The sequence below is a fragment of the Homo sapiens genome, chromosome 2 (genome assembly GCF_000001405.40).
Source record: "Homo sapiens chromosome 2, GRCh38.p14 Primary Assembly".
Lineage (NCBI taxonomy): Eukaryota > Metazoa > Chordata > Mammalia > Primates > Hominidae > Homo > Homo sapiens.
In genome coordinates this window covers 106081509-106102933 of record NC_000002.12, presented here as the reverse complement: position 1 = coordinate 106102933, position 21425 = coordinate 106081509, and the positions used below count along the sequence as shown (strand labels likewise).

The 21425-nt window shown below is 42.9% G+C and overlaps 1 protein-coding gene across 15 annotated transcripts in view, besides 2 other annotated features; it reads left to right on the top strand.

Annotated features, from left to right (window-relative positions):
- The window catches only part of UXS1 (UDP-glucuronate decarboxylase 1), a 100991-nt gene extending 91368 nt beyond the window's left edge, over positions 1-9623 (top strand). For 10 of the 15 annotated variants that reach the window (NR_045607.2, NR_165308.1, NM_025076.5 and 7 more), the window contains 4 exons: positions 1816-1876; positions 4161-4218; positions 6113-6216; positions 8777-9623. Coding sequence is in view for 13 of the 15 variants with exons in the window: in NM_025076.5 (NP_079352.2) it covers positions 1816-1876; positions 4161-4218; positions 6113-6216; positions 8777-8908 (355 nt within the window). In the remaining 2 variants the exon portion in view is untranslated. The remainder of the gene's footprint in view (positions 1-1815; positions 1877-4160; positions 4219-6112; positions 6217-8776) is intronic. The other 5 variants (NM_001377508.1, NM_001377507.1, XM_047445918.1 and 2 more) reach the window with 2 other exon arrangements.
- Positions 4898-5569: an enhancer, noted in NCBI's record as "H3K27ac-H3K4me1 hESC enhancer chr2:106713821-106714492 (GRCh37/hg19 assembly coordinates)". NCBI's record gives its function as "activates a minimal SCP1, AML or CMV promoter by ChIP-STARR-seq in naive and primed H9 embryonic stem cells {active_cell/tissue: H9 hESC(naive and primed)}" and the evidence as "EXISTENCE:reporter gene assay evidence [ECO:0000049][PMID:30033119]".
- Positions 5570-6242: an enhancer, noted in NCBI's record as "H3K27ac-H3K4me1 hESC enhancer chr2:106713148-106713820 (GRCh37/hg19 assembly coordinates)". NCBI's record gives its function as "activates a minimal SCP1, AML or CMV promoter by ChIP-STARR-seq in primed H9 embryonic stem cells {active_cell/tissue: H9 hESC(primed)}" and the evidence as "EXISTENCE:reporter gene assay evidence [ECO:0000049][PMID:30033119]".
- Positions 9624-21425: the final 11802 nt, after the last annotated feature.

Sequence of the window (21425 nt, the reverse complement as noted above, 5' to 3'; positions counted from 1 at the left end):
CTCCCCACTCTGGTGATCCTCTCTGGTTTCACATTAGCAGAGTCTGAGATGATGAGGCTTCAGGGACTTTGCCATACTTGGGCAAGGGTTTCCTGACTTAAACTTTTTAGTTATTGAGGACTCAGATGAGTTCATTAACTGACCAAAGTTTTGATGTTTTTCACAAGCAATTTTTTAGGAACTGAGCGTCTTTTAGTAATGCACGATGTCTGGGTCCATATAGTTACTGTACTAAATTAACCATTCCCCAAACCCATGATTGCCTCGAAACAACAGTGCAGGGAGTCTGAGGTCTAGGTGGCCATCCGCATCGGCATTTTGGCATGACTCTGTTTAATATTCTCATGGCCGGTTTTGTCCTCATTTACATAACAAAGGCATGCTATATTTTTTAAAAGTCACTTTGTCAAAATGACACTTGTAAAGAGCTTCAGGTTAAAGAATGTGATCTATGCAATTTTGACCTTAAAAGTTGCCAGTTTGTCATGTAAAAGGCCCATGGCTCTCCCGTCTGCCCCACTGAGGATGACTGCCTGAGAGTCACCCTTCTTCCAACTCAGATAAACCCCACCCCCCAGTTTCAATATTAAATCATATTGTGGATGCAATGGAATGGCAGCTTTTAATGTCTTTTTATAAACCTGCACAGATGTATGTCATGAGTGCACTATTGTAATGTAGCAATACTGCCATAGTGATGAAGTGACTTTTTGCTAGTTTCTATAAAGGAGAAATCATCCAAGGTTAGCAGGGATTTGCATTTGTGCTTGATCCTTGAGAATAGAACATTTTAAGCATGTTCATATGAAATACGCATTTGTCGTAAAGGAAAACGCAGAAATATCTGATTTACGAAATACCCCAATAGGTTTTTTCAATTGAAAGCAAAACCTATCTGCGGTTTTCTTTTGGAAGTTTATCCTGACCCAGAGTGACCTGCTCCTCACTGGTAACGATGGAGGAGGAGAAGGAGAAGGGTCAGAGCTTTAAAAGTCTTCTAAGAATTGTAGCTCATGGAAAATTGGCGTAGAAAAAGTGCTTGTGCTTAGCAGTGAGGTGTCATTTTTACGAAGTAACTTTGTTTTAACAGAGCCACACTTTAAAGCTTCTGAAAATAAGAACCAAACCTTGGTAAGCGAAAGTTTGCTTACTTATCTTCACCTTCATGGCCTAGTTGATCACAATCCATTTGAAACATCCAAATATCCCTGACCGTTTCATACGAGGTGTTTTGGGGGGTGGCGACTTTAAGGTTGGGGGAGTAGGGAGTGACGTTTCTGTTTATTTCAACCCTCAGTATTGTTTGCCTTTATCTGTGATTTGCCAGTATGGGGATCACATACTGGAGTTCGTTCATTTCCGTGGATCTTGTTTTTAAAAGTAATCATGTGCTTTCGTACAGGTCAACTACTGGGTTCACATTAAACATGAATTTTCTTTGGAAACTTATGTAAACTCCATCTTTTTTGAGTGTATGCCTGTTTTAACTTATGCTTAGTTTTTAATTGTTAAAGGACTTCAGAAATGCAGTGGCGAACTCAGCCCCATCACTCAGCTTCCATCCTATTTAACTATCTCCACCACACCCAAAAAAAGCAAATCCCAGACATCAAATATATCATTTCATCCATAAATACTTTCGCATTGTAAACACCATCTTAGTTTGTAGGATTTTGTTTCGACATTCAATTTTCCATTTGGGTTTTTGTTTTCTCCTGGGGGTGGTAATTTTTCTTCTGGGAGGGCTTCTATGTGGTGCGTGGCACTAGCATATTCCAGCAGGCAGAGCCTCACCTGCCTCCCCTTTTTTTCCAGCGATCTAGTGAATGGCCTCGTGGCTCTCATGAACAGCAACGTCAGCAGCCCGGTCAACCTGGTGAGTGCTCCTCTCCCTCCACTCTGCAGGACAGCTCAGACTTTCGTTCATTTGTGAAACCATGAGCAGCACCAGGCTTTGCTTCATTTGCCATCGGCACACTTAGGACATTTGTGTTTGTTGCTTGCTAAATACTAGAGGAAAAACAAACAAACACAAAGTAAGAGTATACAAAGAAGTAAAACATCTGCAAGGCACGGGTGAGTGATGTAATCAGTCCCTCCACCTTCTGAAGGGCCTGGGTCTAAGATTGTGTGAAGCCTTTTGGTGGTAGTAGGTGGACGTGTGTGTGCATCTCGTTCTCTATTTAACAGGCGGGTCATCATTATAAGGCCTGATTGCATTTTTAGAAGATGGAGGTTGTTCAGAGGGAAAATTTTCCGGTTGCTGATGATGTCTGTCATTTAGCCGGACAGACCACCTTCATGGCTTCTCGCCTTCCCTGCATGCCTGCCCACAGCCCCAGAACCTCCCTGTTGGAGGGATCATCCAGCCTTGAGCAGTTTCAGTGCTGGTGAACTTGCTTCTGCTCAGAGAAATTCACCCTGTCTTTGGACAGTTCTGGCCGGCAGAAAGCTCTTCCTCATATTGGACCAGAAATCTCACTTTCTGCACACCTGTCCACTGACCTCACTTCTCCACCTGGGGCCATTCATGGCTAGTGTGATGCCTCTACAGTGTGGTAACTCTCCAAGGATTTGAAGGAGATGGTCCTACCCCCTAAGCTGCCTCCTCCTTGGTGCATCAGCCAAGGTCATGGTAGGACCTCTTACCCTTTCTGTCACTGAGTGATTTTCTGAGCAGTTTTGTTCCATCTCATTTAAAATGCAAGGTTTCCAATGTGGACTGTCCAGCATTCAAGATGTTCTGCTTCTGTTGATGGCAGTGGACACAAGAACCTCTTAGCTCACAGAGACCTCCCCCTTAACCCTACCTTGGGGTCATTTCAGGTGCTTCTCCCAAATTACCTCTCCTGGTTCCTACACAACACTCTAAAGTTCAGGGAACTCTAAAATGTTGGCCATGTGACCTATTTCTTGCAAACCATGTCACCTTTGCTTATGCATGTCTTTGTAACCAGCCATCTCAAATACATTGCAGACCATGCATTTTTCCCTGAGGTGAAAGGGAATTCTCATCACGTAGGAAAGAATTGCCCTGGAGTGCTGACTCCATTCTGGGACTGTTGCTGATTCATGGGTACAGTGTGCCACTTTTGAAAAAAATTCACTTAAAACAGACCAGAACGTGCCTCACACTGTAAGCCTCATTTTGCTTGCAGCATTTGCCTGTGTACACTGGAGAGGCCCGAGGCGCCCCTGCTCTGCGTTTTTGTTGCAGGTTCTTTAGCAAGGGTGTTGTCAGTGACTTCCCTGGGCAGCCAGGCTCTTCTCTGTAGATACCATGTTCCTCCTTCCCTCTTTGGGGAGGGCCTTTGCACAGGGACAATTCCTAAAATTGGAATCGTGTGTCTGCCAGGAGAAAGGCAGAATCACTTTCTTGCAAATTTCCGTCACTCCACTTCGCTAGTCATCCCCTCTGTGCTCCATTGAGGCCCAGGGTCTCTCCCTCCACATTTACCATCTAGCTTCAGGCTAACCGAGGACCTGGGCATGAAGAGGCTTTAGGGTATAGAATTATCAGACTTTATGGTGGTCTCTTATGATGAGGGCAGTGGTGGCAGAGTAAGAGTAACAGGTGCTCTGATGTGTGATGGGAGGGAGAAAAAGAGCAAATGGTTTTCCTTAAAGCCCCCACACAAGTATTCTCTCTTCATGAAATGCATGGAGTTTGTCCTCTGGCTTGCCGGGGACACTCGCCTGTGAGCCTACTCATTTCTGCCTTAGCTTTTGGGTGTGAGATTACAAGTCCTTCATCACTGACATGGTTAACACAGCTCACCCAGACGGGAATAGATAGTGTTAGGAGAGCTAATTTTGTAAACCCAAGCTTTTATAAAAGTGACATTGAAGTTATGTTAGATATGGAAATTGTCTGATACTCAGTGAGTGTGTGCCTTCATCAGAAACTCTTGACCTATCCAAAGCCCAGCCTTGTACACAGCAGCCTAGAGGCTGAAGGTATAGATGGTGCAGTTTAGCACTGCCAGGTGAGTAACTGTCATCTTGGAAGCGGAGTACCCTCTGGCACACGGAGCTCTGCTGAAGCAGCGCAGGGAGGTCAGACTCGGCCAGTAGACGTCTCTGCAGACACGCCTGTGGTCTGGGTGGTGGATTGCTGCTGTTGTCATGACGCTTATAACTGGAAACCGTTTCTTTCTTAGGGGAACCCAGAAGAACACACAATCCTAGAATTTGCTCAGTTAATTAAAAACCTTGTTGGTAAGTAGGATAAGTCATTTCCTGAGTAAAATCGACTGTGCCTGCCCTATCTGTTAATAACACCTTGACTAGAAAGTGGGTAATTAATACAAGCTAATTGAATTGGATCAAAGCAGAACTTTTTATCAGGAATACTTAAGTGTTTTCTAATTTTTAAGGAATAGAAAGATAAAGGAGGGCAGGATTGGTTTCTCCTCAGTTTTCGTTGCAGGTTTGCATGAAGTGGGAGGGAGGAGGAGATTTGCTCCCAGTGTTTGAGGCACGATTGTATTAGATCATCCTACATGGGTGACAACTATTGGATTTCCGAACTGGTCATGTCAAGCATAGAATTTCAGACAGCAAGAGACAGCAACCACCAGCTGCGTGCTTCAGGCAGGTTTGAAATTCTGTTTGCAATTCTGGTTATCCTGGCTGCCACCCACTGGGGGCAGTGTAGCATTGGGAGCACCCCATCAAGGTGGACTCTTAGGCCATGAGAAGGTCAGGTCTTCCAGACCAGCCCTGGATTGCAGACATAGAGTGGATGAGCCCTTGGCCTCATCTTCAGACTTCCTGGAGCTCTGAGGAGTCAGACTCTTGGAGGGTGTCTGTTGTCTGGGGTTGATCCTGAAATTTGAGTGAAGTCACAACCAGACTAGACTGGCAGGTAGGCCAAGGAGGAGTATGCCACAGTGTGTCCTGAGGTGACCATTCAGACCCCGCTTGGCTGGGTTAATTCCTCCAGTGTGCCCTTCCTGGCATCAGGCTGCCATTCATCGGCATTGGTCTAATCGACCCGGATGGCTGGAATCCTCCCGTTGCTCGTGGCAGTAGAAGCAGCGGTCTTCCTCAGACATAGCCTGCATCATCTGTGGCTCCCACAGCTGCTCCGATGCACTTCCCAGCTTTTCCATCCTGAATCTGTGTGTTCCTCCTGCGTGAGGAAGGGGCAGGCTCAGATCACAGCTCTGTGCCATCCACTCCTTCACACCCTCACTGCACAGAGTGAGGCCCGTGGGCCAACGCAGCAGCAGCATCATCAGATGTGTGTTAGAAATTCAGACTCTCATGCCCTAGCCCAGGCCCCCAGATCAGGATCTGCCTGTTGACAGGCTCTTCAGGTGATCCGTGCGTGCTGACGCTTGAGAAACACTATTTGAAACCTAAGGCTGGGGGGAGGGGCGTGCAGCTTCCCTGCTGTGCTTCTGTATATAGCTTTGTGACAGACCATCCTGAACCACCTGTGGTGGTGATTCGCTGCAGAGTCTGCAATGTGGCCTCCATGACACGGAGGCAGGGAAAGCCTCCACAGGCTTTCTTCTGCAGGTCTGGCCCACAGTCACTGGTGGGGCTGTGTACTGCTGGCCAGTGGGGCCTGGGCCCAGCAAGGATGTGGAACAGGCCAGCCTTTGCCGTCCTCCGAGAGGTCCCTCCAGCTGGGTGGCTGCACATCTTGGGTCTCAGGGCTGTCTAGGCTCCGAGCACCCAGGTATGGCCCACTTGGGGCATCCACCTCAGGGATGGCCCCACACCACGTTTGTGGTCTCACACCGGGGTCATGCTCGGTGGGCACGTCTGCACTTGTTACCTGGTGTGGGTGGTCTGCCTTGGAGCAACCCTCTTGTAGTGGGCGGTAACTCAGGCCTGTTGAGACAGAATAACCTGCCCCCCACCGAGCTCTTGCTGGGCGCCTGCACACAGTCAGCTTGGCCACAGCAGTTGCAGGAGCACTCCCTGGACTTCCACGCAGAACAGTCCCTCGGGAGCTCCGGGGCTTCTCAGAGAACTGCATTTCCACCGCCTGCACCCTATTCACACCACATATGGGGTTTGCCTTTGATGTGGATGGTAAGGCTGTGCTTACCCATGCTTTGTGATTCTCTCCTACCTTTTTTTTCTTTAAACATCTCAGGTAGCGGAAGTGAAATTCAGTTTCTCTCCGAAGCCCAGGATGACCCACAGAAAAGAAAACCAGACATCAAAAAAGCAAAGCTGATGCTGGGGTGGGAGCCCGTGGTAAGTGCAGGGAGTTAATGCTGCCTTGTGGGGAGGGGCCTCCCGTGTCCTGTGTCTGCTGTCCTGTAGGCACTGACCCTTGTCAGACAGCCCCCGGAGGAGCAAGGTGGGCTCGGCATCCAGGCAGATAGAGGGTTTTCTCCAAGTGGTAAACAGCCTCTCCTGTATCAGGAGTCTCAGAGAATGTTACCTGGGAAGCGGCTGGAAGCCCCTGCTCTGGGCTCTGTTTTCGTAAAATCTCTCATGCACACACACATTCTTACATTCTCTCATACACATACACTGCCATACAAACACTTGTACACACATATACTCACACTGTCTCCCACACACTCACACTGTCATATATACACTGTCATACAAACACACTTAATACAAGTATACTCACACACACTCATTTTCACACATACATATACATTCACACTATCATACACATTCTCACATTCACTCACATGCGCACACTCACTGATCCACACTCACATTCACACATACACTCCCTCTCCCACATACATACACACACACACACACACACACCCCTGACTGTGAACGCTGTGCCAAGGGCGCTGGCAGCACACGCTCAGAGCCCTGCGTAGCCCCAGTTGCCTGCCTATTGAGTGTGCGGGGCCAGGTCAGGGGCAAGTGGTCCCCATCAGCCCCGCAGTGGAGCCCCTGGTTGGAAGCGTGCGAGACTGAAGGGTGTGGAGGAAGGGGAACTGCATGCCTTCCTGTTGTCTTCAGTGTGTCTACTGAAGGGGGCAGGGTGGGGCGGCTGCTGCCTCCCTGGGGCTGAGCCTGAACCCCGCCTGCTTCTGCTCTGCCGCCTGCTGTGCCCTTCCTGCCTTGGGTGACTGCAGGCTCCTCCCCGCCAGAGAACGCTCGTCCTCAGGGCTGCCTGTGTCCTTCAGAGACCACCTGTGTAGGGAGGTTGGCTGGGTTGGCCCCATCTATAGAAGCAAGCCCACCTCATTTACTGTCACCTCTGCCTGGCTGTTCCCTCTTTGCCCACCCTCATGTGCCCCACTGAAATTCGGGCTCCCCTCGGGCAGAGGCGTGTAGTGTAGCCCTGTGTCCAGCAGGAGCCCGGCACCTGTCAGACCTGACACACACTGGGTGCTCAACAAATGTAGGAGCATCTTGGCATGGCCCTTGGGTTGTGGCGCAGTCAGAGAGTCAGGGACGCAGTTGAGAGCTCAGTTTACCTTTTTAAAATGTGCATAGTCAGAGCTGAGTGAGTAGAATCCTAGAATATTGAACTTCAAAGGGACATGAGAGTTCCAGCCTGATCCTTATTTCATTCTGTCATGTACAAGTCTACGTAATCTGCTAAAAACTGCAGAAATTTGTTGAGTGAAATAAAAATACAATTACACCCAGACTTCACAAAATCGAATAATCCCAAGCTGTGCAAAACAGGTTATAGCAGCCTAGGTTTCTTGTTTTTTTGAAGCTTTGTAAGGGGCCATTGGTCCCTTTGTAAGGAGAGCCTATATTTTTAAACAAAATATTTTTTGAAGATTTAAATATACATTCACTATGTATTAACTATTGCTTTTTATGTGAGGTGTGTGTATGCTCAGTATCTTTATCTTTCTGGAATTTAGACCTATAATATTCTAACATTCTTGGAATGTGAGCCATCTACCACTGGTTTCTCTTCTAGTAGTAGTTTTAATTTATAATAAATTTTTGAGGGATATGATCCAAAGAAACTTACAGGCATTATCCATCTTAATTGTCCCAAGTGTGTGTGTTTAACAGCTTGTTGAGATATAATTGGCAAACTGCACACTGCCCATATTTAGAAGATACAATTTGATAAGTTTTCATCTATTTTGACACCTGTGAAACCATCGCTGCAGTCAAGCTGACAGACCTTCTCCCCCAGTGGTGCCCCAGCACCCCTTAGCAGTGCCTCCCTTCACCTTTTCTCTTTCTGCTGTTAATCAGCAGTTGATCTGGCTGGTTTCCTGTTGGCTGCAAAGCAGCTTCAGATGAAGGTTGCTTTCTGTGGTGTGGGCTGCCGTGGGTCCCCTCTCAGACTCAGCCTCTTAGTATGGTGGGGGTGCAAGTGGGCCATGATCCGCTAGGCAGTGCAAAGGGTTGATGTCACGTGGGAGAATCAGGCGTGTTGATCAGATGCAGATCACCTTCCCAAAGCATCTTCCCGCCACTCCAAGGTGGATTTCTTCTGAAAGAATGGGGCACATGGGCATTATCTGAAAAACAATCTTGCCAGCCGATTCAAACTGGAGTAGACATTATACCAGCAAGAGGTAGTCGGGGTCTTTTGTGAGGTGGAGCTCACTTTACGTCAGTAAGAGTGACACTTGTCAGCTCCACAGTACATTCTGAAAGCGGCCCTGAAGGACTTCTGGCTTCTCTCGGTGGGCCGTGATGCTGGATGCTGTCACAACCAAAGCATGGTTCTGTGAGTGTTCCTCTGAAGGAGGCCTGACTGGCTGCAAGGTGGCACTTCCTTCCTGCAAGGTGGCACTTCCTTCCTGCGATGCCCTTCTGTCAATGTGACCTTGTCTCCCTTTCTTGCTTTCCCTTTAAACAGGTCCCGCTGGAGGAAGGTTTAAACAAAGCAATTCACTACTTCCGTAAAGAACTCGAGTACCAGGCAAATAATCAGTACATCCCCAAACCAAAGCCTGCCAGAATAAAGAAAGGACGGACTCGCCACAGCTGAACTCCTCACTTTTAGGACACAAGACTACCATTGTACACTTGATGGGATGTATTTTTGGCTTTTTTTTGTTGTCGTTTAAAGAAAGACTTTAACAGGTGTCATGAAGAACAAACTGGAATTTCATTCTGAAGCTTGCTTTAATGAAATGGATGTGCCTAAAAGCTCCCCTCAAAAAACTGCAGATTTTGCCTTGCACTTTTTGAATCTCTCTTTTTATGTAAAATAGCGTAGATGCATCTCTGCGTATTTTCAAGTTTTTTTATCTTGCTGTGAGAGCATATGTTGTGACTGTCGTTGACAGTTTTATTTACTGGTTTCTTTGTGAAGCTGAAAAGGAACATTAAGCGGGACAAAAAATGCCGATTTTATTTATGAAAGTGGGTACTTAATAAATGAGTCGTTATACTATGCATAAAGAAAAATCCTAGCAGTATTGTCAGGTGGTGGTGCGCCGGCATTGATTTTAGGGCAGATAAAAGAATTCTGTGTGAGAGCTTTATGTTTCTCTTTTAATTCAGAGTTTTTCCAAGGTCTACTTTTGAGTTGCAAACTTGACTTTGAAATATTCCTGTTGGTCATGATCAAGGATATTTGAAATCACTACTGTGTTTTGCTGCGTATCTGGGGCGGGGGCAGGTTGGGGGGCACAAAGTTAACATATTCTTGGTTAACCATGGTTAAATATGCTATTTTAATAAATTATTGAAACTCACCAGTCATGGACTTCCAGTTTTAAAGGTTGTCTTTCTGCTTCGGCATGGCACTTGTTGGAGTGCTAAGGAAAATATTGGAGAATTTATTTTAAAAGAAAATTCTGAAAACATTCAGGTTTGTGCACTATATAATTTGATATGTAGCTATTGAAAGCATTTATATGCTACTTGGGCTGAGTGTATGCATATAATTTTCACTGCCATGTAAAGTTTTCAGATCTTAGCCAGGGTTAGAATCAGTTTTGTGCCCTTCCTTGGCAACACAGACCAGATGGAGAAAAAAAAGGTGCAAATTGTCCCCTCTGGAGAGATCTGTGAACTAGGCTTATTGAGTGAAAACTCTGAGAGCTTTTGTTTTCAATAAGAACCCTTTCAAGGTTTAGTGTTAGCATTTTGTTTTTCCTCTTAATAAATGGAAGAACAATGCGGTAAGTTAAAGCTCCACATTTTCCAAGTAGATTGGCTCCGCGTGACAACACAAACCTGAGCAGGCGCTGAAGATTGGCTCCGCGTGACAACAACACAAACCTGAGCAGGCGCTGAGAGGATAAAGATTTCTATGTATCAGAAGCATTTAAAAATGAGAGATCCTAAGATACCTAACCAGTGTAAGCTAGACTTGCCTGTGCTTGTACAACCACCTTGGGATTCTTCTTAATTGGACATATTTTTGGAATCCCAGTCTTGGGCAGGGCAGAGGACGATGTGGTTTTGTTTCTTTGTCATGCTAAATTCTCCAGAACATTCTGGAACTAGGGTCAATGCTAGATTGGTTGTGGTGTGAGAGAGAAAGAGGAATCAAAGATGGTTTCTTATTTATAATTTTAATTATTTTGACCAGAAGTAAGTGATATACCATGTACCGAGATGGGATTAACAGAGCTGCAAGCTCATTTGGGAACTACTAATGGTAACCAAGACATTGAAAAAGGAGTGTAGACAGGGAAAGCTGAGAATTTGCGGGGACTAAGTTCTGCAGTGCAATTTGGGAGAACATAAAGGCCCCAGGGTCCAGAATTCTCTTTCCTAGTTACTTGCTAGTTAGTATCTGGAATTCTTCCATGGGATTCATTCTTTGGTTTTCTTGTCTGTGATATTCATAAAATATTTTCAGGGGAGAGAGGAGGAAGGGAAAGAGGAGTTCTATCTAATTCATCCTAAAGAAAGAAGTAATGCATCAAGGATGTAGTGTAAGGTTAATTTCCATGAATGTCCTGGGAAGAGAGGGAAGTGGAGTTGAGGGGCTTGGAAAGGGATGAATGGGTAGACAGAGCATGGTTACTGTGGTCTGAATGTTTGTGTCCCCCTATAATGCATGAGTTAAAACCTAATCCCCAGTGCAATAGCATTAAGAGTTGGGGTGCTTAAGAGGATTAGGCCATGAGGGCAGAGCCCTTTAGTGCCTACAAAAGGGGCCCAAGGGAGCTTTTTTGCATCTTTGCCATGTTTTAAGGACACAGCAAGAAGGTGCCATCTATGAAGAACAGCCCCTCACCAGACACTAAATCTGCCGGCACCTAGATCCTGGACTTCCCAGCTTCCAAAACTACCGGCAGTAAATTTCTATTTATAAATTACCCAATCTGAAGTATTTTGTTCTAGTACCCTGAACCAACTAACACAGTGGTGCTCCTGCATCTCAGGATTGGCTCCCGATTGAGGCATCACTGCTATTGCTTACAGGGACAACACTGGTACAGCTGCTCTTATTAACTTCAGTGACAGTCATAGTGGGCTTAAGCAAGGTGCAGATTAGAGAGTGAACACACTGGATTTCCACTACACCCTCTTAGATACTGAGCGCAGCCCACTGGCCCAGGTGGACTCTTGTGACTCTTGTGGCATTGCCTCTGCTCCATCCCTGACGGCATCTCTGATCACAACTCTGGTGCTGCATGGGCCACCATTCTGGTTCATGGTTCTTAGTTATGTATGAGCTTGACCTTGTTCTCAGTCTGAAAGGTGTGTTGAGTGAAATGCTGGTCTGGTGATAACTGAGCTACAGTTTGGTCTCTTAAGACTGGGAAATCTAGAAAATCCTCAGCAGTTTGCTAGGGCAGAAGAGTTGTGAGTTTTAATGTTTCAGTTCATCTGTTTAAAGTGGTTTGTTGACTTTATCCAGATATTCTCAGTGGTTGGTTGTTACCTTTGATAGGGAGTTGAAAGGTTATATTACCCAGAGAACTGATACCATAGTATCTGGGGTGTGACGCACTGAGCTTCAGAGACAGCAGCAAGACTTGGTTCTAATCACCATGATTAACCCGCATGTTTTCTCTGTATTAAAAAGCCCTGATTGTGTCCTGCTTGTACCTTGGCCACTTTGGAGAACAAGAGTCACTTTTACCTAAAACTGTACTGTGGGAAGGAAAAAAGTAAAGATATTATTATCAAAAACATCAATGTTTTTAAAAAGTCCTGCTATTTTGGTGCTGCTGAATTTTAAGTTTCTGTATTTCATATACATTTTACTTGAAGTAAAACTAATGTGATGTGGTACAGAATTCCAGGATGTAAGAGTCAGTGTAGATGGCTCTACCATGTACTAATGAGGGGAGGTCAGTTTTTAAAGAAATGAAGATAAAGGAAAATGCAAGGAAGAGACTCTACCGTTTTTACAAAATGGAGTAGACATACTTTCCCTCATCTTCCTACTAAGTACAATTTAAAATTCTGGACATTATATGTAAAACAAGCATAATATGCTGAAAGTAGATAGAAAAAGGTAGACCAGCCAGGGACCTCAGGACCTGAGGAAGAATGCAGTGGTGATATGGGCTAAACCGTGTTGCCTTAAAATTTATGTTGAAGTCTTAACCCATAGGACCTCAGAAGGTAACTATAGAGATTAGGCCTCTGAAGGTGATTATGGTAGAATAAGGTCTTTAGGGTGAGCCCTAATCCAGTCTGAATGGTGTCCTTGTAAGAAGAGAAAATTTAGACAACAGAGATATGCATACACAGAGAGAAGGCCACGTGAGAACACAGCAAGAAAGCAGCCATCTCAGCCCACGAGAGAGGCCTTTGGAGAAACCAAACCTGTCTACACCTATTGATCTTGGACTTCTAGCATCCAGAACTGTGAGAAAAATGAATTTCTGTTGTTTAAGCCACCCAGTCTCTGGTATTTTGTCACGGCTCTCCTAGCAAACTAATACAAGTAGTGAGTTCCCTGGGTTTTCTTTTTGCCTTCTATATGCCAGCCTTGGAGCTGGATAAGTTACTAACCAAAGAGTGCCAACAGACACAGTCAAAAACCCCAACAGAAACCTATTCACTGCTGCCAGCATACCAGGGAAAGGGCAACCTAGTAAAAAGGAAAACTTTTAAACAGAAATGGCTCTACTGTAGCCAAACACCACATGAAAAACACTACAGCCCCTCCCCATCCCTTCCAGCAAAGACCAAGTGGGACCTGGAGCTCCACCCTCACCTAACGTTAAGAAGATGCCTCAACCTGCCCCTACCCCCACTCTTTGCTCTGGTGCTGTCAGCAAAGGCCTGTAGGGGCTTGGGACTAGAAGGCCTGAGCTGAGATTTGCATCTCCACTGGGTAGTAATGACCCCAACCCCATGGCATCAACTGCCTAGTGGAGAGTCAGGGCTTTCAGCACTTTCAATAATCAGCAATAATAAGGCAACCTCAGTGAAGGCCACATGGGGAGCAGTAACAAGCTCCCCACCCCTGACAGCCTGAGTGTTACCAGTGGAGGCCTGGAGGGAAACCTGGGTTTCCACCTGCTACCTGGCAGTAAAAAGGCAGGTTCCCCACTTCACTCCCTGGAGCAGTCAGAGTAGGCCTGCTAAAATTCAAGATTTAAATCAGACCCAGAGTCTTACAGCACTCAGAACTGATGAGGTTTAAATCAAAAATTATTCACCACACCAGAAACCAAGAAGATCTCAAGGTAAATTAGAAAAGATAATGAACAGATACCAGCACCAAGATCACACAGACATTAGAATTATCAGACAAATTGTTTTAAAACAGCCATTGTAAAAATGCTTCAATTAGCAATTACAAACATGGTTGAAACATGAATAGAAAACTGCAGCAAAGAGAAGATACGAAGAACTAAATGGAAATTTTAGAACTGAAAAAGTAACAGATAAAAAGCTCTGTGGATAAGTTCAACAGCAGAGTGGAGAGAACAGAAGATAGAACAATCAAAATTACCCGGTCTAAATAACAAATAGAAAACAGACTGACAAAAATGAACAGAGCCTTGGAGATATGTGGAACAAAGCATCTGTCATGTCATTGGGGTCATAGAAAGAAGAAAGAGGATGGAGTTGAAGAAAATTTAAGGAAGAAGGGCTGACAATTTCCCAAATTTGACCAAAAAAAAAAAAATCAAAATGCTGAGTAACCACCAAAGAAGATAAGCCCAAAGAAATACATGCCAAGATTTATCATGGTTAAACTGAAAATTAAAGGCAAAGACATGGTCCCTGAGGCTGCCAGAGCAGAATGACACCTTACCCCTAGGGCCAAAGCAATTAGAGTGGTAGCAGGTTTCTCAGTGGAAACCACCGAGGCCAGAAATAAGTGACACAAATGCTGAAAGAAAACTGTTAATTCAGAATTCTATATCCAGCAAAAATGTCCTTCAAGAATGAAGTGGAAATCAAGACATTCTCAGATGAAGGAAAATTATGAGAAATGTAAATGAGCAGACCTCTAACGACAGTTAACAGGAAACAAAGGAATCTTGTGGCATCAAGCAGGAAGAAAGAACATAGAATGAAAATATCAATAAATGCAATAGGCTTTCCTTTTCCTTGTAAGTTTTCTAAATTATGTTTGAAGTTTGAAGCAAAAATTGTAACATTCTCATGTGACTGTCTATGTAGAGGAAATAGTCAACTATATTATACATATCAGAAGGTAAAGGGAGGTAACATTTCTATCCTTCACCCAAATGGGCAAAAGTTGACACTAGTAGATTTTTGGTAAGTTTAATGTAATACCTAGAGCAACCAGCAAAAAAAGCTATACAAAGAAATGTACTCAAATGCACAAATAAAATAGAATGCCAAAAAAGTACAACCTGCAGGAAGGCAGGGAAGAGAAAATGAAAATATAAAACAAAGTAAAACGGCAGATTTAAACTTTAACATAACAATAATTGCATTAAATGTAAATGGTCTCAGCACCAATTAAGAGATTGGCAGAGTATATTTTTAAATGGCCCAACTATATGCTATGAGAAACTTCAGTGAAAACAATATATGTGGGTTGAAAGTAAAAGGATAAAAAAATATATACTATGCAAAAATCAGAGGAAAGCAGGAGTGACTACATTAATATTAAATAAGATAAATTTCTGAGCAAAAAGAAAAAAAATTGCCAAGGTCAGAGAGGAACATGACATTATAATAAAAGGATCAGTCCAACCAAAAGACCCCAGCAATCATAAAGGTGCATGCAACAAGTAACACAGCTGCAAAAAATGTGAGGCAAAAACTGGTAGACCTTAGAAGAGAAATAGGTAACCCAAAATTATAGTTGGAGAGTTAAGCACCATTCTCAATAATTTATAGGGTAACTAGACAGGAAATCAGCAAGGATATTGAACTCAGTAACCACCAACAGGATCTAATTTGCATTTATACGACACTTCACAGAACGGTAGCAGAATACACCTTCTTTTCAAGTGCCTACTGAACATATACCAAGGTAGACTATATCCTGGTCATAAAACAAACTTCAACACATTTAAAAGAACTGGAATAAAACTGAGAGACCACAATGGGGTCAAACTAGAAGTCAGCGACAGAAAAATAACAGGAAAATCTCCTAACACTTGGAAACAGTGCAACGCACTTCTGAATAAGCCATGAGCCAAAGAGGGAGTCTCAATAATTGTTGAAAATATATTGAACTGAATAAAAATGTCAAAATTTGTGAGATGCAGCTAAAGTTGTGCTGAGAAAAAACTTTGTGGCACTAAAATTCTAATATCAGTAGAGGAGAAAGAAATCTCAATAATTTGAGCTTGTACTTCAAGAAATTTAAATGAAGAGCCAAGTAAGCCCAAAGCAAGCAGAAGGAAGGAAATAAGAAGCGCAGAAATCAGTATTGAAAACAAAAAGCAATAGAGAATATCAGTGAAACAAATTACTGGCTCCTTAAATAATAAAAGCCACAAACCTCTAATAAGACTGACAAAACAGAAAACACCATTAATGGGAATGAAACAAGGGATGTCACTTAATAGACATTGAAAGGATAACTAGGGAATACTAGCTACAACTCTACATACATAAATTTGAAAACTCAGATGAAATGGGCAAATTCCTAGGAAACGTATCCTAGGAAATTCTCAGTATGACATTTGTAATTTGAATAGCTTATTTAATGATTTAATTCATAGTTTAAAATCTGAAGAAAAAAAAAAAAACTCCAGGCTCTGAGATTGACTGGAGAATTCTGCCAGACATTTAAAGAATTCACACCAATCCTATACAATCTCTCCCAGAAACTAGAAGAGAAAGGAACATTACCCAGCTCTTTGTATAAAGCCAATATTACCCTGATACTAAAACCAAAGAGCACAAGAGAATACAGACCAGTATTCCAAATTCGTACAGATGCAAAAATTTTTAATAAAATGTTAGCAAATTGAATACAGGAGTATATAAAAGGAATTATTACCAAGTGGGGGTTATTCCAGGGATGCAAGGACTAGCTCAATATTTGAAAATCTTTATATAATCCATCATTTTAATAGGCTAAAGAAAAAAATCTCATGACCATAGCAAATAATGCTGAAAAATCACCTGTATTATGGTCTCTGCTTTATGCCTGTTGTCTATCTGACAAAGCTTGAATCTTAAAGATTAGGTTTAAATAAAGGGAGGAAAACTTAAAAGGCATTGAAAAGGACTAAGGAATTGGTAATAATCACTAAAAATGGAATTTTGTTCATTAAGTGTTAAAAGCTTGTCATTGAAAATGAAAATACATATGGGTAAAGGTGATAACACCTATTTTCCCCCTTTGAAAGGTGATAGGTTGCAGTGATGTAATATGCAAATGTGAGGCAGAAATGGTGATATGGTGTTTCTTCATTACCTCCCAGAACAACTGTGTCTGAGCATGCTGGGCAGCTGGAGAGGTCACCCTGGACAGTTAACCACGCTCTTTATTTCCAAATCCATGATCAAATGGCAGGAGGCAAAATCCATCCGTTGTCAGTGCAGGAAGGACCCACTCAATGGGGTTCCTCTCTGCATTTGGGCGTCTTCGGTAATAGATGCTTCCCATGTCCCAGTTTATTTTCACAAAATTTGTTTCTCAGCGAGGAGAGAAAGGGAACTCGAAATCAAAAAAGAGTAAGGTGAGAGAACCCAATTTAAAAACAACAGAAGCAGCAGCAAAGTGCCAAATCACATCAAAGGTACGACACATCATTTTAAGTGGATTCTGACTCACACTTTCTTCATAGATGCTACATCTGCTGCTTGCGTGGGCTTCTTGGTTCCATTTTAACCCTGAGGGAGGTGCAATGACATAGTATTGTGCTTTTCTCTCTCCAGGTCATCTTATGTTAGGTGTGTTAGGCACAGGCAGAAAAAAAATGTACCTCACTGGAAAGACACAACTCTTTATAAATCCCAATTCCCAACTGTGCTTACCTGTTTCCCTGTTTGCTGCAGTAACCTGACAGGAGAAGCAGGGTAGATCAGGAAACTACTAGAAAAGCATCGGCCTGGTTTATAGGCAAGTCAGCTGCCTTCCCAGAGCCTTCGTTTACTTGTCTGTAGCCTGAAGGGGGCGGTGGATCGTACTGTATCTAGCCTTGCCACCACTCCTTACGTTTGTACACTAGTTTTATTTTAGTGAAAGTTTCAGAAGAATCGAGGACTAGATCTCTTCCTAAAGCCTCAGCAGGGATGGAGCAGTGAGTTGCTGTTGTACTTGAAAATCACCATTGGGTATCCCATGGCTCAGACTTTAAGAAACTTTCATCTTCAAACACAGGAATTTCTATAAACAGTTTTTACAACTGTTCACTCGCCCTGCTGGAAGCACTTAGCTTTGTGAAGCTCCCATTCCATTATCAGAATTCTGAGCAAAAATTGGCTTCACTGAGCAGCCACTCATGGGGCCTGGTTGTGCCCTTGGGGCTCTCCAAGAACAAGACAAAGACTTTCCTCTTGACAGCCCTTCAGATGTTTGAAGACGAGCAGTCAGTCCAGTCCTTGGACTCTGCTCTTCTAGGCTTGACGTCCCCAGCATGGGTTCCCCGGGACTCAGTCTTCTCTTTAAAAAGATGGCGGTAGGGATAGCAATGCCTGTTCACACGCCGTCTTTCTGTCTTTAATCTGTGGCTCTTGGTCAGTATATTACAGTAGGGGTTTTTGTCCTCTGTTGAAGAATCAGCTTTATATAAAATGTCTGGTTTACAAAATGCTGGTCAGTAATTCTGATCCACAGAAGAATACAGTGCTGCTTGTTAAAAATGGGCCCTTAGGGGAGCAGGTGATATGATTTGAAAAGCTCATGGCCAAGGGTCTCTGGCCAAGCTTCAATGAACTACTGCCGGGCACTATGGCTCACACCTGTGATCCCAGTACTTTGGAGGTTGAGGCAGGAGGATCGCTTGAGACCAGGAGTTCAAGACCAGCCTGGTCGACATAGCGAGATCCTGTCTCTACAAACAAATAAATTATCTGGGCATGGTGGCACACACCTGTAGTCTCAGCTGCTCAGGAGGCTGAGGTGGGAGGATGGCTTGAGCCCAGGAGTTGGAGCCAGCAGTGAACGATGATCGCACCACTGCACTTCAGCCTGTGTGACAGAATGAGACCCTGTCTCCGAAAACAAACAAGCTTCACACCTCACAGGATTGAAATTGCACCTGTAGTCACAATGCACTCCTGTTCACAGGCAGCTAGCTGCAAGGGCAGTGGTTGAGTGGGAGAAAATGTTAGTTTGCTGTTGCCAAACCAAGTATAGGCTCAAGAAACTCCGGGCCCAAGAGGCATACTTTGGAGGGAGAAGGTGAGACCCTGCTGTGGTGGGGCATAAATAAGCTAACGGGTGGTGGGGACAAGGGAGAGGAATAATGTGGTGTGGGAAAGATGTCCACATCTGAGTCGTAATCCCTGCTCTGTTCCTAACTCACCTTGTATCCCAGGAGCTGACTGGCATTCAACCTCTCTGGCCATCATCTTCTTCATATGTAAAAATGAGACTAGATCCATATGTAAACATGAGACTAGATCCTTCCTTTGTGTAGTCAGGATCCATTCGACACGTATTAAAGCTCACTTACTCTGACAGACTCTATAATATGCTCTGAAAGTTTTATAGTGAGCAGAAACAGGTGTGAGCTTTTCCTGGGGTTCACAGTCTAGCAGAGTTTGCTGAAGTGCAGAGCAAGGGAGATTGAAAACAGGAATATTAAGAGGTAGGGAGGGGGCCAGGTCTCATAAACACATCAAGGGTTTTCATCTTTATCCTAAGAATAACTGGAAACTTTCACTCTGGATATATTACAAGAACTGGAATGGAAATCCCTTTAAATAAGGGGTCTCATGAACTTGAATGGGAAAAAAAATGAACCTTTTTGTTTCTACTAACCCCTAACTCAAATTTAGCCTTTTCTTCAATGATAAATGTAGACAACAAACTGTGATGGAAATAGCTCTTAGCCGGGATTCTGCCACATATAGAAATCAGATATATTATCACATTATAGTTGTTACAATTGTCTCAAAATGTCATTTACTTTCACTACTTTGAAATTACAATAGCTGTAGACCTACCAGTAAGTCTTGTTACTTACAGCGTGAAGAAACACATTTATTACTATCTCGTAAATTTGTCTTTTAAAAGGTTGTAAACTTTTTCAATATAATTGATTTCCTTTGTAATCCTGTGTACTTGGTTTTATGCATTTACAAATGTTATTCTTAAAGATTTTCAGAGACAAAAAAGGTAAAGAATGTTTGGTTTGAAATAAATGACCAAATAGGAGTTCTGTCTCCAGCAGTATGACAAATTAATGTGAATAAACCCCTCAATGGGAACAAATGAAATGCTGGATGTGATTTTATATACACTTTCCTTAGATGATAAATAAAGAATCTGCAGAGTCCCAAAAAGAAGGGAAAACCAGCTATTGTATGAAAATGTCTGCAGAATCATGTAGAGCTTGAGAATCTTTGAAAGCTGCAAAGGGCTCAGGACAGGAGATAAAGTTTAGGTCAGATTACCCTGCATCAGACTGAGCTCCCAAAAGGCTCTACCTTGGTGTACGGGCCAATGAGAAATAAATCCATCACACAAAAGGGGGCAGTGAGGATGCTTTCTTCCAAATTTCAGTTTGGTGGGAGTGGACTGAGAACAGTAAGTACAAGGTGTCTCTATTTGGTCTGTAAATCCACAAGCACAGAATTTAAGGTGGTCCCAGTTTGGTAGACTCCATTGCACCCCAAGCCACTAGCAAAAGAAAATGCAAGTGCTGTCTGGAGGACTTCAACTTAACTCAGCTTTCAAGTGTGTCTTAAAAACAACATTCCGAAAAGAATAAGCAGCTCATGGTTAGAAATTACATAAAATCAAGGAGACAGTCACTATGAGTGAGAAACCGTAGATGGTAGGCAGAAAGAGATTCACAAAGACCCCAGATACTGGAAATGACAAAAATATAAAAGTGTTTTATACATTTAAAGAAAGAAAAGAGAAACTTGAAAATCTAAACAGGGAACAAGAGATATAACCAAGCATATTTGAATAAGAAAGGAAAAATATAATTAAAATTTACATACTTGAATAAAACATTCCAGAAAGAACTACTAGAATGAGGGAGAGACACCATTCAAAGAAAAAAAATGGAGAATTTTCCAAATTGTTCGAAAGACACCAATCCTCAGATTAAGCCCAACAAACTTCAAACATATTAATATTTATAGGCATAGATGTGGATATAGACAACAAAGAAGAAAAGTAGGTATCAAAACAATTTAAGACGACAGTATCACCTACAGAGGAATGGCTATTAGATGAATAATGAAATTCTTAACATCGGCAATGGAAACCAGAGACGGTAAAATAAATTCAAAGTATTGATTAAATAACCAAGAATTTTATGCCAAGTAAAACACGGGAAAGTGCCAAATTTGAGAGTTTACCACCCAATGCACTCACTAAATAGATTCTGAAGGATATGATTCAAACTGAAGGAAAATGATCTCAGATGCATGGGCTGAGTTTTAAGGAGAAACAGTAGAGCTAAGATAATTATGAAACAATCTAAACAAACCACTGATTTTGAAACAAAGATAATTTGCAGGGAAAATAAAGCAGACTAGATTTAAAATGTCAAGTTGCAGTCACATGTAAGTTGGAAGGGGGAATGCAAGGCCCATGTATTGTCCAGGAGAACACTATGGCTATTGAGTCCCTTTAACTTATTAATATGTATGAAATAAGGCAAACACCAATAGAATAGATCAGTGTATACCTTCAGTAGAAGTAGAGAAAAAAAGAGTCCAAATGAAGGAAGAGAGGGGAAAGGAGCAAGTAAAATGGAGCAGATCAAATGTTCAAAATGTGATGTTAAAAATAAAACCAAATCACTAATCACAATAAGCATAAGTGGACTAAATTCTCCAGTTAACATTTTGTTATATTTTAGAAACAAAACAAAATTCAGCTATGTGCTTATTACAACAGAAACACCTAAAGCACAGAAAGATTAAAAGTCAAACCGTGGAAAAGATAGACCAGGAAAATATTAACCCAAAGCAGGCAAGTATACTCATATTAATATCAAAGGAGAATTCAGGCA